The sequence below is a fragment of the Homo sapiens genome, chromosome 16 (assembly GCF_000001405.40).
Source record: "Homo sapiens chromosome 16, GRCh38.p14 Primary Assembly".
Taxonomy (NCBI): domain Eukaryota; kingdom Metazoa; phylum Chordata; class Mammalia; order Primates; family Hominidae; genus Homo; species Homo sapiens.
Genome location: NC_000016.10, coordinates 56,960,249 through 56,984,151, shown reverse-complemented (window position 1 = coordinate 56,984,151; position 23,903 = coordinate 56,960,249). Strand labels below are relative to the sequence as shown.

Sequence of the window (23,903 nt, the reverse complement as noted above, 5' to 3'; positions counted from 1 at the left end):
CCTCACTTTCTGTCCAGCACTGGAACCCCAAGGGACAGAGAGTGTGTGACAGCTCCTGCAGGAAGCTGGTCAGACAAGGAGAGTGCTGGGTTAAAGGGGATAAATTTGGAAGGTATCCAGGGACCTGATCAGGGAGGATCGTGAGTCCCAAGGAGAGAAGTTTGGATTTCTTCCTCCAGTCATCATGAAGCTTGGAGGGTTTGGGGGCAGCTGCCTTGGAAGGGCTGAAAAGAGGTGGACGGCACTGGTGAGACAATCCCTTCCCCCCCCCTCTACCCGCCAGCCACAGAAGAAGGACTCCGCAGCTCTTGGATACAGCACTTTAATGCCAGTGGGCCTTTAGGATAGGGAGGAGTTGGGAGCCAATCTCCATCTCCGTACTCCTAACCCAACTTCCACCACGCTGGAGGAGACACCAGGGTTCCAGCTGTGAGCCTGGTGCTTGCCTTCTGCTACAAGCCCCATCCCGACCTCCTTGGAGACTTCTAGCTCAAGCTCTGGAGGAAATCCACCAGCAGGTGCTCAGGGAAGCCAAAGTCCATCTGCAGCAGCAGGAAGCCCTGAAGGGAGGGGCAGTAGGAGAGAGGGGCGAGCTGGGCTGACTCCCAGGCCACCAGGAGGGAGCCAAGCTGGTAGAGGCCCCTCTGTCTGTCTCCCCAACAGCCCCCAGTCACCCCAGGAATCCTGTCTGGGCCTCTCTCCCCAGGAACAGGGGCTGGTGAGGGGGGCTTTGTACTCACATCTCGAGTGATAATCTCAGGGTTGATGATGTCGAAGAGGCTCACGCCTTTGCTGTTCATGAGGGCTGTAAACACTACCTCGAGCCCTGGGGCAGGGGACAGAGCCCCAGTCAGCCCTTCTTGGGGAGCAAGGCCGGCCCGAGGCTCTGCCACCCTGGGTAGTGGGAGATGCTGAGACCCTTTTGGACCAATATTCTGTAAACATGCGTTTCACTTTGATTTAGCAGAGTGAGCAAGTGCTTCTGAGGATGAGGAAGAGCAGAGTTTGCCTGGCGGCAGGGCTTGCCACTCTGCTGCCAAAAAAAATTCCCTTCTGCCCCAAACTTGAGCTCCCAACCCATCCACAATGGCCACATGACCTGCAGTTAGCTGAGTCTACCCTGCTAGGAAGGAAACTTTCCCACACAGCTTCTCAAAGTGTTCTTTGCAACCACACAGAGTGGTCTCCTTGCAAGTAGTTGTAGGAACCATTTAATCCACATCCCCTAGTTTTAGCTTCATGGTTCAGATGGGGAAAATGAGGCCAAGAGATGCCAAGACACCCCACTAGGATCATTCCAGTTTCCACGCCCTTCCTCTCCTACCTAAGCCATGTGGACAAGCAGATGTTCAAAAGGAAAGCACAGTCAGCTCAACATACTCTGTGGGGAAGGGAGCAGAAAGCTCTCAGCAGAGCCTGGTCCAAAATACCCCCAGCACACGTGTGCTATGGTGTCTGAGAGTCTACCATCCGAGTCACCTCAAAGGGATAAATATTCTACCATTTCAAGGTCAAAAGGAAAATTGGGAATCATCAAGTTCAACATTCTTGTTTCACAGAAAGGGAAACTGAGGTTCAGGGCTGGGCTAGAACTAGGTCTCAGACTCCCAGCCCAGGGGTCTTTCTGCTATATCAGGTTGCTATTAGGAGACCTGCATCCTGAAAGTGGGTTGAGCCATCCCGCGGGGTGGCAAAGATAATATTCTGCAGGTAAACCAAGAACAGGGGTCTGGGCATCTGGCCGAGTCATTGGCGTGCAATACCACCAGCAGGGAGAGGAAAGGGGGCCAGGACCGCTAAGTATCAATGACTGGGAAGAGGGGCACCTGAAGCTCTGCCTGGGAAGGGCCCACAAGGTGAAATGGGAAGCTCTGTCAGCCTCGGCACCCAGTTTCCCCTCCAGCCCACACTTACGAGACATGACCTCAGGGATGCCCACAGCGGTGATCATTGACTGCAGGAAGCTCTGGACGGACTCGGAGCTGCTCTGCCAATCAAATGCCCATGGTGAGTCCTCCCTGGAGCACAGAAGTGACCCACAAGGCAGATGCTGCACGGCCTGGACAAGCATTCATCCTCATGCCCATCCGTGAAAAAAATACATCCAACCCACTCCGTTTTCCTGCCCCAGACGGTGCCCTTCCTGAGTGGTCTTTCCTTCGCCCTGGGGAGGCCCAGGATTGCTAGCCCATTCCACAGAGGGAAAATTGAGGTCCAGGGAGGCGCTGCTTGGCCAGTACTGTTCTGCCTAAACCCCAATCCATACCACCACACTCTCATTTTTGCAACACAAGGGCTCTCCCAAAAGACATGGCAGGGAGAAGAAGGGTCACAAGAGACACAGCATGGACCACCTGGTCCACATTCTTTTGGTCTGGTTGCCTGATTTCCTTTAGGGCCCTCCGCCTGCTTTCTTTAAGGCAGGAGGTCCCACAGGACTTATTTCCCCCAGTCTATCCAAGACTACCTACCTCAGTCAAGTTGGAAACAGTCTTTGGTGTAATCCTGAAATAAAAAAGCGATGATAATTTGACCCTCCATTGGGCCCCCTCCTGTAACATCCCCTGGGAAAGAAACTCTAAGAATAGCAGCCAGTGCTTCTGTCTCATAGCTCAGGCCCTTTGGGGCACTCTCTTGAGATTTGCTATTCCCTTGAGATTTGCTATTCTGGCGGCCAGGCCTTTGCTCGGGCAGCGCTCTCCTCCTGCCAGGCCCTTCTTCCTGGCAGCCCTCCATTCTTCCTGGAGCCCCTTCTTCCCCACGAAGATTCTATCTAGGCAGGGTCTTATCTCCCTGCAGTCAGCCCATATGCCCCAGAAGAAAGGGGCCACATTTCCCCACCAACACCCCGCCCTGTGCCTGACTCCAAGGGGCCAGGGAGAGGTTTGCGGAGTTGACCGCCCCCTCTCTTCTCTGCAGCACATACTGGAAATCCAAGAGGCTTAAGAAGAGCTTTTTCTTAGAATAGGAGGCCTGGACGGTAGTCACGATATCCTGGGGAGAGAAACCAAATTTGCTGTGAGCCAGGGCTCTTCCCGAAGCAGAGAGCAACCCTCCTAGCTCAGGGCCCCTGATTCTTTCCACTGAGGGACTGGAGAGGCAAGGATGACACGGGAACCAGGCTTAGCTACTGCTCTTCTGAAAACCGAGGAAAGTTCCCCAGCACCTGTGGCTTTGGGGTTAGGACCTGAGAAGTCACTTTCTTTTTCTTTTCTTTTCTTTTTTTGTTTTTGAGACAGTCTCACTCTGTTGCCCAGGCTGGAGGGCAGTGGCACGATCTCAGCTCACTGCAACCTCCACGTCCCAGGTTCAAGCGATTGTCCTACCTCAGCCTCCCAAGTAGCTAGGACTACAGGCATGTGCCACCATGTCCGGCTAATTTTTGTATTTTTAGTAGAGATGGGGTTTCATCATATTGGCCAGGCTGGTCTTGAACTCCTGACCATGTGATCCACCCACCTCAGCCTCTCAAAGTGCTGGGATTACAGGCGTGAGCCACCGTGCCCGGCCGAATAATTCTTTTTTTTAACAAATGCTCAATGTTTCAGATTCTTAACAACAAAAAAATAAGTAAATAAAATAATATGTCTACATCCACATGAGAAAGCCAAAAGGAATAAAACAGAAAAATGAAAAGGAAAGTAATACAAAAATTAAAGAGATATTTAAAAGGCTAAATAAACTGGGCACAGTGGCTCATGCCTATAATCCCAACACTTTGGGAGGCCAAGGTGGGAGGATCACTTGAGCCCAGGGATTTGAGACCAGCTTGGGCAATGTGGCAAAACCCTGTCTCTACAAAAAAATACGTGGTAGTGCACATCTCTAGTCGAGAAGCTGAGGTGGGAGGATCACCGCTGCACTCCAGCCTGGGCAGAAACAAACAGACAAACAAACAAACAAACAACAACAAAAAAGAACGGCTAAATACAATGTGCTATCCTGGATCAGATCTTGGAAAAGAAAAAGGGTATCATCAGTGGAAAAACTGGGGAGATTCAAATAAAGTTTAGAGTTTGGTTAACAGTCATGCACCAATGTTAATCTCTCCGCTATGACACTGTAGCATGGTTATGTAAGATGTGGACAAAGCGGGAAGTGGGTGGGGGATATATGGGAACACTCTGTATTTTGCAACTTTTATTCAAATATAAAGTTACTCCAAGATAAAAAATTTATTTAAAAATAACAAAGCACCAGAAGGAAATGCACCCAGTCACCACATCGAAGGCCCCTGGAGAAGGGGGTTATGGTGACAGTGGTTTTCTTCTTTCTATTTTTCTATATTTTCCACAATGTGATTGTATCGCTCTTGTCTTTAGTTCTTAATGTATTAAGAAATATTGGCCGAGCACAGTGGCTCATGCCTGTAATCCCAGCACTTTTGGAGGCTGAGGCAGGTGGATCACTGGAGGTCAGGACTTTGAAACTGGCCTGGCCAACCTGGTGAAACCCCGCCTCTACTAAAAATTAGCTGGGCGTGGTGGCACGCGCCTGTAGTGCCAGCTAGCTACTGGGGAGGCTGAGGCACGCGAATCGCTTGAACCAGGAAGGTGGAGGTTGCAGTGAGCCGAGATTGCACCACTGCACTCCAGCCTGGGTGACAGAGTGAGACTCTGTCTCAAAAAAAAAAATTGAAGATATTCTAAGGAGCATTAAAGATAATACTGATTCTTAATTCCTTATTTGTAATTATAAAATCAAACAGGATCTGAAAACTACAAGTTTTTTCTTAAGTTTTGTTGGCAAAACCTGGCCATTGTCTAGGAAGCTATGTATGGTATTTATCTTGCTTCATATGAGGAGAAATGCCAATTGAGGCATTTGAGGAGAATTGATTGTGGGGTGCCACCCCACACCCTATTGGGGTGTTCTGCAATATATCCAGTGTCTATACACTATACTACTTTTACAAATTCACAGAAGTTCTGAATTTGGAAACCCTTGTGGCCCTAATGAATAAAGGGTTGTGGACTCGGGTAATAAACACCATTGTCCACTGCTCAGCTTAAGGAGGAGAATATTGGCTGGGCGTGGTGGCTCATGCCTGTAATCCCAGCACTTTGGGAGGCTGAGGCGGGCAGATCACTTGAAACCAGGAGTCTCAGACCAGCTGGGCCCACATAGCGAAACCCTGTCTCTACTAAAAATACAAAAAATTAGTCAGGCGTGGTAGCGCATGCCTGTAATCCCAGCTACCTGGGAGGCTGAGGCATGAGAATCGCTGGAACCTGGGAGGCAGAGGTTGTAGTGAGCCGAGATTGTGCCACCGCACTCCAGCCTGGGCAACACAGTGAGACTCTGTGTCAAAAAAATAAATAAGTAAATAAATAAATAATAAATAAAAATAAGAATGAAAGAACATATGCTTGGCATGGTGGCTCATGCCTATAACCCCAGCAACTTAGGAGGCCAAGGCAGGAGAATTGCTTGAGGCCAGGAGTTTGAGAACAGCCTGGACAACATAACAAGACCCCGCCTCTAAGGAAATTTTTTTTTTTAAATTAGCCAGGTGTGGTGGTGTTTGTCTGTGGTCCCAGCTACTCAGGAGGGCTGAGGTGGGAGGATCACTCGAGCCCAGGATTCGAGGCTGCAGTGAGCTATGAGTGTGAGGCTGCACTCCAGCCTGGATGACAGAGTGAGACCCTGTCTCTAAAAAAAATAAAAATAAGAAAAGAGAGAAAATATTACCTAAGCTGTGGAAACCACGTGTGTACCCCCTCGTTACTTGCATGATGTGATTTTGATTGTAAGGAGCCATGTGCAAGAGACAACCAGTGCCAGCAGAGGTGGTGAGAAGGATCTGGAGGCTTCAGAGACCCCCAGGCCCCTGCCCTCTGCGGCCCATATGTGAGTCAGGTTCCCCCACCACCACCTCTCCCTGCACCCGCCTCACCTCTTCAAATGTGTAAGCTACAGAATGTTGCTGGTCTGGGCGTGGAAAGAGGAATTTCACCATCACTGAAGAATTGACCACGACTCCCTTGTTTTGGCAGGAGATCTTGGGCATCTTGAGGCAGTGGACGGTGACTTGGGCCTGGCTGGGGAAGCCGCCGACAACCTGTGGAAGACAGGGGTCCCATGGCCAGGACAGGGGCCCATCAGGGCAGCAGCAGTCCATGCCCTCGGAGATGGGAAGGACAAAGCTGGCTCCGGGCCCCAGGGCTGGGGAAAAGGAAGTAGCTCGGGGTAGTGCCCAGGCCCCAGGCTGTGCAAATTAGGACTCTTGTCCTCTCTGGGCCTCAGTTTCTCATCTGTGTGCTAGTGAAGCTATTCCTACCCTGAACTCCTCTCTCAGGATGTGCTGAGGATGCCTTCACTTAGCCTTCTGGGCCTCACTTTCCTCATCTGTAAAATGGGGATAATCATAGATCCTACCTCATAGGGTTGTCCTGAGGATGGAATGAGATAATCTGTGGAAAGAGCTTAGAACAGGACCTACTGCATGGTAACCCTCCGAGGGAAGCTGCTGTAGCAGCTGGGCTAGGGGTGGGGATAGAGCAGAGAGCGCAGGAGCTGCGGGCCATATCTGCAGGAGCCCAGCATTTTCCAGGGCATCCCAGAACAGAACGTAAAACTGCAGCTGAGGAGTATTTAAAGGAGAGACACACCAGGCTGTGGCACGAGGGGACCTGACCTAGTCAGGGAGGTGGGAGAGGCCTTCCCTGAGGTGGCAGGAGGAGGAGCAGATGGCATGGGGGAGGGCAAACCATTCTGGCAGAGGGGACAGTGTGGACAAGAGCCCTGTGGAAGGAACATGGCCAAGATAAGGAATGCGCAGGCAGCCAGCGGGGCTGGGGAGTGTGGCCTGAGGACCTTCGATTACAGCCTGTGGGACTGGGCTCAAGGAGATCACATGCCCCAAGAAACCACTGAACCGCTGGATACACAAGAAAAGGTTTCATTAAATACATAGCTCAGCTCAAAAGAAAGAAAGGGCCGGCGGGGTGCGGGAGCTCACACCTGTAATCCCGGCACTTTGGGAGGCTGAGGCAGGAGGATCATTTGAGGTCAGGAGGTCAAGACCAGCCTGGCCAACATGGTGAAACCCCGTCTCTACTAAAAATACAAAAAAATGAGCTGGGCACAGTGGTGCACCCCTGTAACCCCAGCCAATCGGGAGGCTGAGGCACGAGAATTGCTTGAACACAGGAGGCGTAGGTTGCAGTGAGCTGAGATTGCGCCACTGCACTCCAGCCTGGGGAACAAGAGCGAGACTCTGTCTCAAAAATAAATAAATTAATTAATTAAATAAAATAAAATGAAAATCTCAGTGGGTAAGTAAACAAATAAGACACAGCTGTAAAAAGAATTAATGAACTAAAAAGATACTTGAAGAAACTATCCAGAATTTAGGATAGAGATAAAAGAGATGGAAAACACGACAGAGCAACTAAGAGACACGGAAAATGGAATGAGATGGCCCAACGTGTGTCTCATGGAAATTCCAGGAGGTAGGCATGGAGAAAATAGGGATGGGGCAATCATGGAAGAGAGAGTGATGAAGAAATTTCCAGAGCTGATGGGCTGGGTGCTGTGGCTCACACCTGTAATTTCAGCACTGAGGCAGGAGAATTGCTTGAACCCGGAAGGTGGAGGTTGCAGTGAGTTGAGATTGTGCTACTGCACTCCAGCCTGGGCCACAGAGCAAGACTCTGTCTTAAAAAAAAAAAAAAGAAAGAAAAGAAAAGAAATTTCTAGAGCTGACAAAAGACCTCGTCAACTTTCAACTAAACAGTTACAATTACGCTGGGTGGGAAACAACTAGATGAAGAAGTAGACAGGATGAGAAAATGCAGGGCCCTGGAGGCCATGGGAGAGCGTTTAGCCTGTATCCTACACCGGCTTTAAGCAGGCAGGTGAATGACCAGTTTTATTTCTTGAAAAGATTGTTCTGGCTGCTGTGGGGAACAGATTATTGGAGGGTATCAGGACACAGGGAGACCCACCGGGAGCTACAGATGGGTCCCCACTAGAGATAATGGTAGCCTGGGGAGGAGGTAGAGACAGAGAGAAATGGAAAGACTAGAAATAGGACATCAAAGGAACAGGACTCAGACAAGGGGCTAAGGGAGAAGAGCCGGTCAGGGGCCTGCCCAATATTGTGAGTTGTGTATGTGCAAGGAGAGAGGCATCACAGAGCCGGGGAAGGCTGGACGGCCTGAGTTCAGAAGGGAAGAGGGACCGTCCTCTGTTAGAACAGGAGAACGGCCGCAGGAAGGCGCAGGTGTGGGTGAGTGGGTTGCGACTGGGAGCAGCGACGTGGGGGGGAAGTTCTGTTGGTGGCTCTGCTCAGCTCTCTGGTAAGCAGGTTGTGTGTGGAGAGGGAAGTGGAAGGTAGACAGGAGGGGGCAGCTGGAGATTTGAGGATGGCAGGGAAGGCCTGAAGAAGTCATTGCAGTGGGTGGGGGGAGTGAGGTGACCAGAAAGCTGAGGGAGGCTTACTCAGAAAGCATGAGGTCCATTTGAGGTAGGAGATCATGGGTTCTTAGTGGAACCCTGCACTGAGGAGTGGGATTATGAACATCATTGCCACTGGGCATAGCAAGAAGGGGCTGCGACCTCCAAGGAGCTTGCCTGAAGTCAGCTTTGGGATCAGGAGTAATCAACAGTCACTTATTGCTGGGGCCCTCTGAGCCCAGAGTTGATCCTGGGGTTCCAGCCCCCTACAAGTCCCTATGCCTGGGAAATGGAGCAGGGAATGGAGCCTTATCTTTGGGGGCAATAGAGCTGGGCTCAAACCCAGCCTTGCCATTCACTAAGTTTCCCTGTGTGTAAAATGGGGACAGTTTGACCGCCCCACTCATAGGGTCGGTGTGAGCACTGAAGGAAGTCACACACACTAAGTGCTTCACTCCATGCCGAACAACCGAGTAGGAGCTGTGTTCGCTGTTATAATTGTTGCCATTGGTGGTGTTATTGGCTGTGTGGGGGCTCTTGAAGCCAGAGCAGGATTGGGGTACGTGAGATAAACCCCACACAGGGGCAGGGGGCAGTTACCTCTTGGAAGATTTCCTGGTTGGTGTTGAAGCCCCAGGTCTCCAGCACTGCCTGAAAAGAAATGAGGAAGTTGGAGGGTGGGTGGAGTAAAGTCCACTCCTCAGAAGAAAACTTCGCAGGGACCAAGGGCAGTTTCAAGGACTGGACCCCTCCTCAGACGCAACTCCCAACCTCCCAGACAACATGTGAGATGCTCTGGGCAGGGTGTGGAACAGGGAACCCCTGTCCCGGCTGGAGGCCTGGCTTCTGCTCCCCACTGTGCCCCACACATGCTGTGTGACCTCGCACAAGTCTCTTCCCCTCTGTGGGCCTCAGTTTCCTCATGAGTTCAATGACAAGCACAGCCTGGAAACTACCTAAGCATTTCTAGTACAGTATAGGTGAAGAGTACAGGCTTTGGGGCCACCTCTTACAGGCTGTGTGATCTTCAGTAAGTCACCTACCTTCTCTGAGCTTTGTGGTTTTTTTGTTTGCAAAACAGAGGTAACAGTACTTATTTCACAGGATGAGTGCAACAAAACAAAGTGTAGCAAATATAACTGCAATAAATGTAAGTCTAATATCAACTTATATTTAATGCACAGTTACTACGTGCCAAGTTATATCTATACCTAAATCTATTGATCACTCTGTCTATCTATCCATCTATCTATCTGGCAACACATAGTTGACTCCAATAAATGCTGGACTGTATTTTTTTCTTGAGATGGAGTCCTACTCTGTCACCCACACTGGAGTGCAGTGGTGCCATCATAGCTCACTGCAGCCTCAACCTCTTGGGCTCAAGTGATCCTCCCTCCTCAGCCACCTGAGTAGTTGGGACTATAGGTATGCACCGCCGTGCACAGCTGATTTTTAAACTTATTTTTATTTTTGTAGAGACAGGGGTCTCCCCATGTTGCCCAGGCTGGTCTTGAACTCCTGGCCTCCAGGGACCCTCCTGTCTCTGAGAGAAGAGAGACAGACCCTCTCATATTGTTTTATATTGTTTTATACTCAGAAAAAGAAAGAGAAGCGAAACTAAAGGCAGGTAGCCCAACGCCTAGAGACCAGACCCGAAACCAAGGAACCAGACCCGAAACCAGGCCTGGGCCTACCTGACCTAAGCCTGGTAGTTAAAGATGGACCCCTGACCTAACCAGTTATGTTATCTATAGATTCCAGACATTGCATGAAAGAGCATTGTAAAAATCCCTGTCCTGTTCTGTTTCGTTCTGATTACCGGTGCATGCAGCCCCCAGTCACGTACCTGCTACTTGCTCAATAGATCACGACCCTCTCATGCAGACCCCCTTAGAGTTGTGAGCCCTTAAAAGGGACAGGAATTGCTCACTCGGAGAGCTCCGCTCTTGAGACAGGAGTCTTACCCATGCTCCCGGCTGAATAAACTCTTTCCTTCTTTAACTCAGTGTCTGAGGAGTTTTGTCTGCGGTTCGTCCTGCTACATCTCAGCCTCCCAAAGGATTGGGATTACAGGTGTGAGCCACTGTGCCCAGTCTGGACTTCACTGCTATTGCTCCAGCTTAGTTCTTTTGCCCACCACCAAGTTTCCGAGTTTCCTCCCTCCTCCCCATGCGTGTGCACACACACACATACCACATGCCATCTGGATCCCCTAGCAGCCCAGCCCCACCCACTCACCTTGAACTCGTCTCCCATCAGGCTGAGCATGAGGCGGCCATCCTGGAAAGCTACCTTGGCCAGCGAGTGGAAGACTCGCTCAGAGAACCAGAAGTACAGCATGCGGGAGTCCCCCAGCAGTGTGGGCGAGAAGGTGGGGAGGGGGAGGTCCTCTGAGACATTCTTGTAGATGAAATGACCCTGGAGGAAGCCAGGACGCTGGCTGGACCCTGTGTGTCCCTACTGGGCTCAGGTCCAGCTTCAGGGAGATTGGGAGGAGCCCCAGCATTCAGCCCAGAGTGCAGATGGGGAAACTGAGGAAAGAGCTGTACCCAGTTTCCCCCAGCGGGGCTTTCACTCATTCAACAAATACTTCCGGAGTGCCCACTATGTCTCAACCACCGTGGGAAGTGAACCAGACAGACGTGGTTCCTGCCTTCACAGGGTTATATTCAAGTAACGACATTAGTCAGGGCAGCTGGTGACCACGGACCTCCAGCTCCCACCCCGCCCCAGCTGACCACCAGCCCTGCCCCTGCAGAGGGCAGTCCATTGACCATCGGCTCCTGGAGGCCAAAATCAGGAAAACAAGCTGCTGCCCAGTCCCCCGCCCCACTAGATCATCCAGCCCATGGGTTGTGAACAGGCTTCAGGAGTGGCCATGAACCTCTGAAATGATCCTTCTGTCCAGTTTTCCAGGGAGAGGCTCTGTTACAAAGATGGCTGGGTCCGCCCTAAAGTCTTCTCCAATCTCTCCCTCCATTCTGTACCACTTAACTTTTAGCTGGTCTCAATATTTAGCTGAAATAAATTCCTCAGTTTCCCTTGCAGCTAGGGTGGGGTCCTGCGATCAGGTTCAGGCCAACGGGCTGTGAGCAGAGTGGGTGTGGTGGTCAGGCCAGTCAGCCAGGACCCTGGGATGAGGTCATGCCTGGGGCTGGCTGAGAACACGTGGAAGGGGCCTGCGTGCCTGACACCCTGCAGCCTCCTGATCCCGCGGGGCTGCAGATGCTCAGAACGCAACAGAGGGAAATAACTGTTTATTGTGTTTAAGCAGCTATTATTTCGGATTTCTTTGTTACAGAAATCTATATCCTAAGTAATAGAGGGTCCAAAGCTTTTGTCAGTACCCCCTGGGGGGGGGCCACAATCCACTGCTGTAGAGGATGACAGAAGCCGAATAAGCCCTCTAGGAAGGAGCTGGTGCTTTGCTGGGATCCTTGTAGTGGGCAGCCCTGGTGCCTGCAGAGAGGGGTCAGGGGCACGTCGCTGTGGCCTGCCCTCCTCGCAGCATCAGGAATGCGGAGGAGCATCAGGAATGAGGAGGAGCGCCCCAGGACTCTTGGCTGCCATAAGGTTGAAGCTGGGGGACGGGGTTGTCAGAGCACAAAAAAGGACCAACTCCCCTGGGGAAGCTGGGCCCTGCCCCACCCTCCCACAACTCCTACCTTGTGATGGGACTCCAGGTAGGAGGCTGTGATGACGGGATCACCTGTCAGGGAAATGTCCACCCCAATGTCTCCATCTGAAAGGATGCTGGCTGCAGGAGGAAAAGATCAACGCAGGGCCTCAGGATGGGGGAATTGCCCTGAGTCACCGCTCCCCTGCATCCACACAGCTACCCAACCCTCCAGCCTCAGTGTTCCCCTCTGTAAAGTGGGACCTGGGTGTGCGGGGAGGGGTGTGGCACTTTTTCATTCTCTCTTTTCCCAAGTCTGTCTGTCTGGGTAGGTAGAGCCCTTCTAGAAGGTTGGTTCAGAGCAGAGTCCAAGACTTGGGCTGAAACCCAGCTCTGCTCTGTACTGCATAGGAGAGTACAGTACATGGATGAGTGCCCAGCCATGTGAGCAATCTAATTATCTTTTTTCCTAATCTACTTCCAGGAGAATCTTGGAGTCCTCTTGGACTTAATCACCCATTTGTCCTGAGTTCTATAGACTTGCCCAACGCCACACAGCTTGTGAGGCTGCAGCCCAAAGGGGCAGAGATTTGCCAAAGTATGCTCATAACTAATCATCAAGTGTCAGAGCCAGATAGAGCCCATGGGACCTAGACAGGAAGAGTGACAGTCCCAAGGCCACATAGTGCAGCAGGTGGCTTTCTGGCTCCCACTGCTGTCTTCTGAGGCATGCAGACAGAAACGCACTCACCAGCCCTTGTCTGGACAAAATCGGCCATGATGTTAGAGATGACGTTGATCTCTTTGCAGATCTGGGGCAGACAGAGCAGGTGCTTTCCAGGCAGGAAAGGAGGCCAGAGGCAGTGCCTCCTTCCAGCTGCGTGGTGGTGGCAGTGCTGGGGACCGGCACAGGGGACTGGCCACATGGAGAAGGTGGGAGTGGCACCTTCTCAGGGAAAGGCAGGGAGGAAAGGGATCCAGCCTCCTGGGCATGGCCCTGGACCACAGGGAGTCAGCCAGCCTCACTCACCTGTCCCTTCAGGACCAGCTTCAGGGTGAAGGAGATGAAATTTGTGAACAGCTGCTTGATCCACCCAGGCCTGAAGGCAGCAAGCACCACAATGAGCCCCTGACCAGTCCTGTGCATCCATGGAGCGCCTAGTGTGTACCAGGCACCGTTCATGGCTCTGTTGGCCCTGACTCTTGTAGCTCAGGAAGTAAGAATTATCACTCCCATTTTGCAGCTGAGAACACGGAGCCTCAGACCCAAGAATTAACTGTGGCACCATCCCAGAATTCCTCGGGAGGGCCCAGCTCCTGTGACGCTCACACCTGTCACACACACGAGAACGTGTCTAGAGTCCAAATTCATACATGTATCCGTCTGCTCCAGAGTCAGAAAATGGCCTGAATAGAGGGCTCCTCTCCAGACCCCACCCACCAGTTCCCTTCTGCCTTCCAGGTTTGGCATTGGTAACATGACTAGGGACTCTCCAAACCTTGTTATCTTCCTCTGTGCAATGGGGTTACCCACAGCTCCTTGACAGAGGGTGTTGGCCAAGACAAAAAGCCCCACCCTGGGAAGCAGGAGAGTAAAGTATCTAGGAACTCAGCTTCTGGGGTCAGAGAATGCTGGGTTCAAATCCTACTCCCATCCCTTAGTGGCGAGTTGTGTGTCCTCAGCAAGTTACTTAGCTTGGCTAGAGTTTTATCTCTGAGTTAGTGTGGTGCTTGGAATGCAGGATGCACTCCGTAGATATGAGCTTTTCCTTTCTAACCTCTCTGTGACTCAGTTTACCCATATGTAAAAAGGGGATGATAACAGAATCTATATCCTAGGGTTGGTTTTAAGGACAAAATCAATTAATTCATGAAAAGGGCTTGGAATAGTGCTTTGCACACAGCAAGTTCTTAATAGCTGTTAGTTACTAGCTGTTGGTTATTGTTGTTTCCAGCCTTTGAGGGTGTATTGATGGGAGGGGGTAGGAAGTGACCCCACTGAAGGTATTGCTGCCCTCAGGTTTGGCCACCCACAAGCATGCCCTGTGTGGGGTTGAGCCTGGAAGGAGCCGTGGACACACTAACAGGATGGGCACGAGCAGGAATGGGGGCCACAGGGTGGTGTACTTACTCTCGCTCCCCTTGGAGATGCAGGAGCAGCTTATGGAAAGACAGGTAGCAGTCAGGGGCATCGGTCCGCACTCTACCAGAGTCACAGGCTGCAGGGAGACCCGACATGACCTCAGGGCAGCCTCCGCTATCAGATGGTATCCACATGCTGCCCAGGCCAGTCAAGAGCTTGGCCAGCTCTGGGGTCCCCACCCCTGCAAACTTCCCAGGCTGGGCCTCCTTTGGTGGCCCCAGAACCCTCTGCCTGCACAACCTCCCCCTCTGCTGAGGCCAAGCCCTGGAGTCCAGCTCCCACTTCCCCAGAGGACGCTTGACACATACTCAGCTGTGTGTTGATCTGGAGGTCAATGGCAGAGTCGATCTCGAAGTCAATGGACTGATCAATACCCAGCCTGGAAAGAGCCAAGGACCCAGGACCCTCATTCAGCCCTCCAGCCCAGAGAGGGCCAGGGCATGGGGCATCAGCTGACAGGAATGCTTACCACCAGGCAGTGGTGTAGCCATACTTCAGGGTCCCCTTGAAGACCACAGACACGTTCTGAATGGAGACATCAATGGACTTGGCTTCCACCAGCTCCACCTGGCTGCTGGCGATGGACAAGTGGCTGATCTGGATGCTGGGAAGGAATGGAAGTGAGGAAGGATGTTGGGGGTCATCCAGGGAGCCCAAGGAGTGAGCCTCCAATTTTGTCTAGGCGAGGGTGGAAGATAGAATCATGGCCCCCAAAATGTCCTCCTAATCCACAGAACCTGCAAATATGTTACCCAACATGTCAAACCCTGGGTACCACACTCAACTCGTGTTACCCATATGAAAGTATGGTTAAGTTAAGGACCTTGGGGTAGGTGGGGAGATGATCCTAGGTTATCTGGGTGGTCCCAATACAATCACAGGGTACCGAAAAGTGGAAGAGGAGGCAGAAGAGGAGAGGAAGGGGAGAGGTGACCAGGGAAGAACGCCCGGAGAGAGTCAACCCTGGTGTGCTGAAGATGGAGGGAACCGTGCTCACAGGGAGATTTATATCTAGAAATGCCTATCTTTAAAAAAGAGAAAGATCTCAACTCAATAATCAAACTTTCCACCTTATGGAACTTGAAAAATAAGGGCAAACTAAGCCCAAAGCTAGCAGAAGGAAGGAAGTAATCAGGATCTTAGTGCCTATGAATGAAATAATAGAACAAAAACAACAATCGGTGAAAACAATAGCTGGTTTTTCCAAAAGATCAACAAAATCAACAAACCTTTAGCTAGACTGGCAAAAAAAAAAAAAAAGAAGAAGACTCAAATTACTAAAAACAGAAATAAAAGCAAGGCCATTATTACCAGTCTTACAGAAATAAAAGGAATTATGAGAGAATACTACGAACAATTGTATGTCAACAAATGAGGTTAACTAGATGAAATGAAATGGACAAATTCTTAGAAATGTAAATGGTATATGAAGAAGGGTGAAAATTGATTCGGAAGAGTATCAATACACCACCAGAGGTAAAGTTAGATCAAAAATAGGTTGGTGGGCCAGCGTGGTGGCTCACACCTGTAATCCTAGCACTTTGGGAGGCCGAGGAGGGCAGATCACCTGAGGTCAGGAGTTCATGACCAGCCTGGCCAACATGGTGAAATCTCGTCTCCACAAAAATACAAAAAAATTAACCGGGCATGATGGTGGGCGTCTGTAGTCCCAGCTAGTTTGGAGGCTAAGGCAGGAGAATAGCCTGAACCCACGAGGCGGAAGTTGCAGTGAGCTGAGATCGCGCCATTACACTCCAGCCTGGGCAACAGAGCAAGACTGTCGCCAAAAAAAAAATAGATTGACAAAACGTTGCAGGTCTATATCAAAACATCTCATGTACCCCATAAATATATACTCCTACTATGTACTCTCATGTACCCCATAAATATATACTCCTACTATGTACTCACAAAAATTAAAAATAAAATTAAAAAAAAATAGATTGGCAAAGACTTCTGGTATAGGAAACAACTAGATTGCTCCAAATTCTTCTTCTTCTTTTTTTTTTTTTAGTTTGTTCTTTCTTGTTTGAGATAGGGTGGCTCTCTGTTGCCCAGGCCAGAGTGCAGTTGTGTAATCACAGTTCACTGCAGCCTCGAATTCCAACGATCTTCCTGCCTCAGCCTCTGGAATAGCTGGGACCACAGGCATGCACCAACACTGCCTGGCTAATTTTTGTCTTTTTTGTGCAGATTGGGGGGGTCTCACTATGTTGACCAGACTCCACATTATTCTAAATGCTCTAATTTAGAATTAGACCCTACTACAATCTCCAATCCTCTTTCAGTTCTACAGAAATTTAAAGCTCATACCATTGTTTTTTTTTTTTTTTTTGAGACTGAGTCTGGCTCTGTTGCTCAGGCTGGAGTGCAGTGGCACGATCTCGGCTCACTGCAACCTCTGCCTCCTGGGTTCAAGTGATTCTCCTGCCTCAGCCTCCCTAGTAGCTGAAATTACAGGCTCCCGCCACGACATCCAGCTAATTTTTGTACTTTTAGTAGAGAGGGGGTTTCACCATGTTGCCAGGCTGGTCTTGAACTCCTGACCTCAGGTGATTCCCCCACCTCAGCCTCCCAAAGTGTTGGGGTTACAGGCATGAGCCACCATGCCCAACCCGTTTTTTTTGTTTGTTTGTTTGTTTGTGTGACAGAATTTTGCTCTTGCTGCCCAGGCTGGAGTGCAGCGGGCAATCTCAGCTCACTGCAGTCTCCACCTCCTGGGTTCAGTGATTCTCCTGCCTTGGCCTCCCAAGTAGCTGAGATTATGGGCATGCACCATCATGCCCAGCTAATTTTGTACTTTTAATAGAGATAGGGTTTCACCATGTTGGCCAGGCTGGTCTTGAACTCCTGACCTCAGGTGATCTGCCCGCCTCGGCCTCCCAAAGTGCTGGGATTATAGGTTTGAGCCACTGCGCCCAGCCACGTACCAAATTTTTGAGTGGAGTCTCTTCTGGTAATAGCTGCGTAAGCTCCTAATACACTAACCTCCTTGGATGACTAAATTCTTGACCTCCGCACAGAATACAATAAACACTACCTGAGACATTAGAGAGTAAGTGAAAACAGTCAGACTGGGCCAGGCCGTGGCTCACGCCTATAATCCCAGCACTTTGGAAGGCCGAGGCAGGTGGATCATCTGAGGTCAGGAGTTCGAGACCAGCCTGGCCAGCATGGTGAAACCCCATCTCTACTAAAAATGCATAAAAAAAAAAAAAAAAGATTAGCCGGGAGTGGTGGCATATGCTTGTGGTTCCAGCTGCTCGGGAGGTTGAGGCAGGAGAATCGCTTGAACCCAGGAGGCAGAAGTTGCAGTGAGTCGAGATCGTGCCATTGCACTCCAGCCTGGGCGACAAGTGCAAAACTCTGTCTCAAAAACAAACAAAAAAACAAAAAAACCCACAAACAAACAAACAAAAAAACCCAGCCGGGCTGCAGGGGAGATGCCGGGTGGAGGAAGAGAACAGCACAGGGTGCATTTCTCCATTTTCACAGATTCTAGCACGAAGCTGGGCTCCGGCTCTCACTGTGAGAAGGGACAGTGGGAAAAGGCCCTTTCAAGTTCTTGAGCTCTGGTAGATCATAGTTTTTCTGGCCTAGAGAACCAGAGGACAGGACTTGGGACAATCACAGCTGCTGGAAAGCAGGGGAGAATACCATAAATGAGAAAGTCAGAGCAGGAAGCTTCCCTCGCCCTAAATAAAAGTAGATGGAGGGAAGCCAAGGAATGGGGGAAGCCTCTAGAAGCTGCAGAAAGCGAGGGAATTAATTCTCCCCTATAGCCCCCAGAAGGAATCTGGTTCTGCTGACAGCTTGATCTTAGCTCAGGGAGGGCCATGGTGGACTTCTAGCCTTTTAAACTGTAAAATGGTAAACTTGTGTCATGTTAAGCCACTAAACTTGGAGTGATTTTTTTTATGGCAGAAAACAGGAAACTGATACAGAGGGCTTCTGGGAGGAGGTGACACCAGATGGAGGGTGGGAGTTTGGAAGATAGTAGGTGGCTCAGCTTGGAGGAGGCCTCAGCTAGGCCCCGGGGGCAGAGGTGGAGCTGCACAATGGGAGAAGCGTTGGCCCTGGGGTCTTGGTGTAGGTACAGCAGAGGATCTGTGCTGCCTGTGCCGCCGGGGACTTGGTCAGAGGTGGGGCTCAGTGAAGACCCTTAGGAAGCAAGGATCAGAGAGGAGAGACTGCAGGCAGGGAGGCCAGTGGGCCACATTCACTCTCATATCCCTCTACCCTTGCTGAACTCTCCCCCAGGGCCCGGCTTGAGCACATGGAATATGACACAATAGAAGCGGCCATCACGTACCAAACACATGCTGTGTGGCAGGCACTGTGCTTAGAGTTTATACACATTTCCTGGTTTAATCCTCACAGCTACCCACGAGGTAGTCACTATTGCTGTACCCACTGAACTGAGACAGAAATGGCTCAGACAGCTTATGTGGCTTCAGAAAACCTCAGTAGAAGGGAATTTGATCCTGGGTCCATCCCACTCCAAATCCCATATTATAAGCCACTATGACACACTGTGCCCAGCAAGGAGAATCCACATATATCTGGCTTTCCCGGTCTGTTCTGTTCTATTTTATTCCATTCGCTTTAGAGAGAATAGTGTGAAGAATTCTCATCTTACCCATTATCCAACTTCATCTAACATTAATCATGACCAATCATAGTTATGGCCAATCATATTTTATTTCTACCCCACTCATATACGTTTGGGATAACAGTTATATATTAATGACTATGACATCTAGTCTATGGCAGTCTGGTCTTACTGAATTATTGCTGATTTATTAAGGATACTATTTCTTTAACTTCTCAACGCTTTTGCCATGTCTGACCTCTTGCAACACATAGGTCTAGGATAGCATTATCCTCTTTTATTTTTTAGCAACAGAGTCTTGCTCTGTCACCCAGGCTGGAATGCAGTGATGCAATCATAGCTCACCGCAGCCTTGACCTCCCCTGGCCTCCTGAGTAGCTGGGACTGCAGGCACGCACCACCATGCCCAGCTAATTTTTAAATTTTTTATAGAGACAGGTGGTCTTGAACCCTGGCTGAGGTAATCCTCCTACCTCGGCCTCCCAAAGTGCTGGGATCACAGGCATGAGCCACTGGACCTTGCCCATTATTCTCTTTTACAGAAGCCTAAACTGAAGCCCAAGGTCACACAGAGGGCGTGGCTGCGCGAGACCTGGGACGCCCCACAGCACCCGCTAGCGGCGGGAGTTTTCCTGCAAAAGGCGAAGTGGCATCCAGCACCGCTGGCGCCCCCTGGTGGCTCAGAAACATTTACCAAGACTCAAGGCCCAATGTGCGCGGGTAGCAGAGACCACCCCTGGGGAGCGTGTTTAGCAGGGCCGGGGAGGAGGAGGAGATTGGCTTTAAGACAAAGACAAGGTCCCTGAACAATGTCTGCCCCACCCTTGGGGCCTCAGACCGACACACAGACCGGGACCCAGGCTCCAGGGCAGCCTGAGGTGCCATGAAGGTGGCTGAGTTTCCGATACTGAGCTGAGTTTGCACATGAGCTCCGCCAGGCTGCTAAACCTCTATCGGCTCCTGTTTCCGTGTTTGTTAAGCAGGGTCATCCGGGCGATGGCATTATCCTCTTTTACAGAAGAGGCTAAAATATATGATAAAGATTAAGATAGGCCGGACGCTGTGGCTCACGCCTGCAATCCCAGGACTTTGGGAGGCCGAGGCGGGTGGATCACTTGAGGTCAGGAGTTTAAGACCAACCAGGTCAACATGGTGAAACCCCGTCTCTACTAAGAATACAAAAATTAGCCGGGCGTGGTGGTGGGCACCTGTAATCCCAGCTACTAGGGAGGCTGAGGCAGGAGAACGTCTTGAACCCGGGAGGTGGAGGTTGCAGTGAGCTGAGATCGTGCCACTGCACTCCAGCCTGGGTGACAGTGAGAGACTCCATCTCAATAAATAAATAAATAAATAAATAAATAAATAAATAAATAAATAAATAAATAAAATAAAGATTAAGATAGATAAAGGGCCAGGCGTGGTGGCTCACGCCTGTAACCCCAGCACTTCGGGAGACTGAGGTGGGCGGATCACTTGAGGTCAGGAGTTGGAGACCAGTCTGGCCAACATGATGAAACCCCATCTCTACTAAAAATACAAAAATTACGCGGATGTGGTGACGTGTGCCTGTAATTCCAGCTACTCTGGAGGCTGAGGCACGAAAATTCCTTGAACCCAGAGACGGAGGTTGCAACGAGCTGAGATTGTGCCACTGCACTCCAGCCTAAGTGACAGAGGGAGACTCTGTCTCAAAAAATGAAAAACAAGAAAGAAAAAAATATATGATAAAGGTGAGGATGTTGTTTGTAAAAGCACCTGGCCCACAACCGACCCTTGACTGTTACCATCATCCCAAATAAAGTCAAGATACTAATTTTAGGCTTGGGGTGGGGGACTGGCTAAGCCAAGAGTTCAAGACCAACCTGGCCAACATAGCAAGACCTGTCTGTACTATAAGAAAACAACATTTATACATTTTTTTAAAAAATACTTATTTTGTTGAGATTTTTCTACCCTACCCCCCATTCACCCCGAAATAAGACCTCCATCTTCCCAGGGCAGTGGGAAAGGACCCTTTGAAGCCTGACTCTTAGAGGGGCTGTTGGAGAGGTTGATACACTCCAATAAATCCCCCCAGGGCACCAGGGGATGGAGGGTGGGGGTAGGGAAGGTGTCAGGCTCTGGTTCCAAATCAAGGGGAGAGACCTGAGTCCCCCAGCTGCTGCCTTTCCTCCCTGTGGGCTGGGGGCAAGCCCCAGGCTGTTCCTCCCGCCTCCCTACCCCCAGCCTGGTCACACCCGAGGCCCGACTCACTTGTGCAACCCATACTTGACTTGGCCAAGGAGCATCATGGCCTTCTCGCCCGTGATATCTGGGTAGCTGGCTCGCTGGAAGGCGGTCTGGATCACCTTGGCAGTCTCGTGGTTCACTAGAGGGGAGGGCAGTGGATGAGGGGCTGCAGGCCCACACCAAGCCCCCTGCTCCCACCCCCAACTGGCCTTGGCCATGACTCAGCCTCTCTGAGATGAGGCTCCCAGCAGGTCTTAAAGCTGAGGGGTTGGACTGGGCCTCCCTCTGGGTTTAAGGTTGATGGCAATTCTAGGGGACACAGAGAGCTCTGACCCTGACCCCAGCTAGAGATCCTGATCATACCCTAGCCTCTGGATCCTGACACATGGGAACCCCACGATCCTAGCAAATGGGGCAGCCCTGAGCCCAGCCGCACACTAACCCTAGCCTCACCCAGACGATGCTGTGACACTGTCTGTAGTCCTGGGGGTCTATAATTCTGGCTTTTGAACTTGGCGATACTCTATTTTAGAAATTGTATCATTTAGCCTCCCTATACCCTTATTATATTGAGCAAGAGACTGAGGCCCAGAGAGGGCAGGGGAGCTGGCCAAAGTCACACAACAGTCAGTGATGGAGCCTCCGTCACCTGAGCTCATGGCAACCCCTGACTTTGGCCATAGAGTGACCCCCAACACCAAATATACACCAACCTCCTAATCTTTACCCCCTGACTCAACCCCCTAACCTGGCTCAGATCTGAACCCTAACTCGAACCCCAGTGATTCTGGGTCTCAGACAAACACAAATCCCTATACCTGGCTGTTTGCAATGCAGCTAGGACCTTCTCACCAAAGAACTTGACCTTGAAGGCGAGGTCAGGAGGGGGTGATGACAGCTCCACTCAGCCCATCTCCCTCCCAGGGCACTCCTCTCTCTGGGCTAGTGTGGCAGCCGGCTTCAGGGCTGGCTTCAGGCCAGGGAGGCTCCTGGCATAGTGGGTGTCCATGAAAAGACCCCTGGCAGGGCAGACAGATGCACTGATACTTACACACCAGGAGGGCAGGCTTGGTGATGCGGCACACGATGCCTGCCTCGTGCGAGGTGCCTTTGGAGCAGGCATGGGCATTGCCCAGCAGGGCCAGGGTCAGGACTGTGGCAGCCAGCATGGTTATCAGGCAGTGGTGTGTAAGTGGCCCGAGCCGTTCAGCCTGGAGCCCGTATATGTATGTCCGCCCAGCCCCCACGGAACATGAGGCTCTTCCGGGCAGCAGGGTCTTCCTGGCCCCAGAGATTCACCTCCTTCCTGCCCAGCCCCTGCGGCCTCCTCTAGAGTTCAGAGCCAGACATTCAACAAGAGCACCCCAACTTCTACTTGTCTCCCCTCCACCATCTGCACCATTTTTGCCATCCCTTATGTTATCTGGATAATTGCTTAATATGTTTCCATGAATTCATTTATTTTTTACTTAAATACATATATCTAGGAATAAGCTTTCTCTCTCAGTTGCCATAAATAGAAAGAGGCCAAAATACAATGACTATGAGAAAAAGACATTGAATTCTTGCCAGATACTGTTGCCCGACAATGACCCCAAGCTTGAAGCCTGCTGTTGCCTGTAAAGTAAAACTCAGTAGAAAAAGGGAGAGGGCTTCATGGGTGCTAGAGAAACTCTAGCATCGACCTTTCCCTTGCTCTGATTTGAAAGCTTGAAAGGATAATGTCCTCACTGTAGTATTCCATGGCATTTGACGCTGCATCTGGGTACCCCAGAAACAGTCCTCTATGTAGACTTTCCTTGATATGCATAAAATAACTCTGGGGGGGTATACAGCCTCTGAGATCATTGGCTGCCTCCGGGAGAAACTGGGTATCCGGGGGAAAGGGGCGGAGCAGGGGGAATGTCTGTGGCATTTCAATTCTGAGTTGTGTGAACGTGTTATCTTTCAAAAAATTACAACATACAGTACTTTACCTACAGCTGGGGCCAAGAACTGCCCTGCAGCAACTGTGACCAGATGACCAAGTGCTGCCTCCTCAGAGCCCCTAGGAAGGAGCCAGGGCTGCAGGGATGTGGGCAGGATGCTGTGCCCCGGGCAGGGCCAAGGAAACATGAGTCGGGATGGCCTTGCTCAGTCGCCTCTCAGGGGGTCCTGCCCTAGTCCCGAGTTTGCACCTGCTCCAATACCAAAGCTGCCCAGAAGCACGTGGGGAGCCGGGCTGACCCTCACTGTTTCCCAAGGCTCAGAGACATAAGCTGATTGCCCCTGGGCACCAGCCCTTGGGTTCGTACCCACAGACCTCTGGAGCCCCCTCACTGAGTGAGCATGTACCATCGGCCCTGCCAGGGTGGGGGCTGGAGGTGAGCCCTTTAGCCCAGGCCTCCCCAGCACCCCGTCCTCCGATCAGGCTGGAGGAACTTCATTCATTAATGGGCTCTATTTCTCCAGAAATGTGAGGACTTCCCGGCGGCTATTGTCTTCTTGGCTGTTGTTTCTGTTCCCTTCCTTGGGCCACGGAGGGCAATGACCGAGGGTGCCCCTGGCCAGGGTACTGGTGGTCAGTGGCTGGGCCTGGAGAGAAAAGGGAGGTGGGCCCCATCCTCTAGTGCAGACTGGGTGCTGGGGGCCTCCCAAGGGTGGGGATAATGGATTAAAAAAAAAAACCAAATAACTAAACCAAAAAACCAAAAGAGCCTATCCCTTTAAACTTAGAATCCTGCACCTTAGACTCTTAAAACTTAGTAAGAATTATACTAATATCAGCTGTATTTTCGAGATAATGCTTTTTTGCGTTATCTCATTTAATCTTTTTTAAATTATTTTTTAGTCTTTTTAAAATTGTAGTAGAATTTAATTTACTGCTTAGTGAAAACTTGCCACTTTAACCATTTTAAAGT

At 50.7% G+C, this 23,903-nt stretch overlaps 1 protein-coding gene across 3 annotated transcripts, besides 6 other annotated features; it reads right to left on the bottom strand.

The window, feature by feature from the left end:
• Positions 307-22,202, bottom strand: CETP (cholesteryl ester transfer protein). 3 transcript variants are annotated; one of them, NM_000078.3, is made up of 16 exons: positions 22,055-22,202; positions 21,028-21,142; positions 14,632-14,766; positions 14,471-14,541; positions 14,151-14,238; positions 13,050-13,119; positions 12,771-12,831; positions 12,069-12,160; positions 10,642-10,821; positions 9,001-9,051; positions 5,897-6,061; positions 2,927-2,994; positions 2,472-2,505; positions 1,915-1,987; positions 741-826; positions 307-560 (listed from the first exon to the last, which is right to left on the bottom strand). In NM_000078.3, the coding sequence occupies exons 1-16, from the start codon at positions 22,170-22,172 to the stop codon at positions 486-488; spliced, it is 1,482 nt and encodes a 493-aa protein (NP_000069.2). In that variant the 5' UTR covers positions 22,173-22,202; the 3' UTR covers positions 307-485. The 3 variants fall into 3 exon arrangements, with proteins under 3 accessions (NP_000069.2, NP_001273014.1, XP_006721187.1); NM_001286085.2 differs by lacking the exon at positions 10,642-10,821; XM_006721124.4 differs by lacking the exons at positions 307-560; positions 741-826; positions 1,915-1,987; ... (3 more) ...; positions 9,001-9,051; positions 10,642-10,821 and adding an exon at positions 11,646-11,983.
• Positions 674-1,174: an enhancer, noted in NCBI's record as "H3K4me1 hESC enhancer chr16:57016890-57017390 (GRCh37/hg19 assembly coordinates)". NCBI's record gives its function as "activates a minimal SCP1, AML or CMV promoter by ChIP-STARR-seq in naive H9 embryonic stem cells {active_cell/tissue: H9 hESC(naive)}" and the evidence as "EXISTENCE:reporter gene assay evidence [ECO:0000049][PMID:30033119]".
• Positions 12,715-13,054: an enhancer, noted in NCBI's record as "active region_10867". NCBI's record gives its function as "activates an Ori minimal core promoter by ATAC-STARR-seq in GM12878 lymphoblastoid cells {active_cell/tissue: GM12878}" and the evidence as "EXISTENCE:reporter gene assay evidence [ECO:0000049][PMID:35858748]".
• Positions 19,221-19,515: an enhancer, noted in NCBI's record as "tiled region #2679; HepG2 Activating DNase matched - State 5:Enh, and K562 Activating DNase unmatched - State 5:Enh". NCBI's record gives its function as "activates a minimal TATA promoter and a strong SV40 promoter by Sharpr-MPRA in HepG2 and K562 cells {active_cell/tissue: HepG2 | K562}" and the evidence as "EXISTENCE:reporter gene assay evidence [ECO:0000049][PMID:27701403]".
• Positions 19,517-19,586: an enhancer, noted in NCBI's record as "active region_10866". NCBI's record gives its function as "activates an Ori minimal core promoter by ATAC-STARR-seq in GM12878 lymphoblastoid cells {active_cell/tissue: GM12878}" and the evidence as "EXISTENCE:reporter gene assay evidence [ECO:0000049][PMID:35858748]".
• Positions 20,606-21,593: an enhancer, noted in NCBI's record as "H3K4me1 hESC enhancer chr16:56996471-56997458 (GRCh37/hg19 assembly coordinates)". NCBI's record gives its function as "activates a minimal SCP1, AML or CMV promoter by ChIP-STARR-seq in naive H9 embryonic stem cells {active_cell/tissue: H9 hESC(naive)}" and the evidence as "EXISTENCE:reporter gene assay evidence [ECO:0000049][PMID:30033119]".
• Positions 21,594-22,581: an enhancer, noted in NCBI's record as "H3K4me1 hESC enhancer chr16:56995483-56996470 (GRCh37/hg19 assembly coordinates)". NCBI's record gives its function as "activates a minimal SCP1, AML or CMV promoter by ChIP-STARR-seq in naive H9 embryonic stem cells {active_cell/tissue: H9 hESC(naive)}" and the evidence as "EXISTENCE:reporter gene assay evidence [ECO:0000049][PMID:30033119]".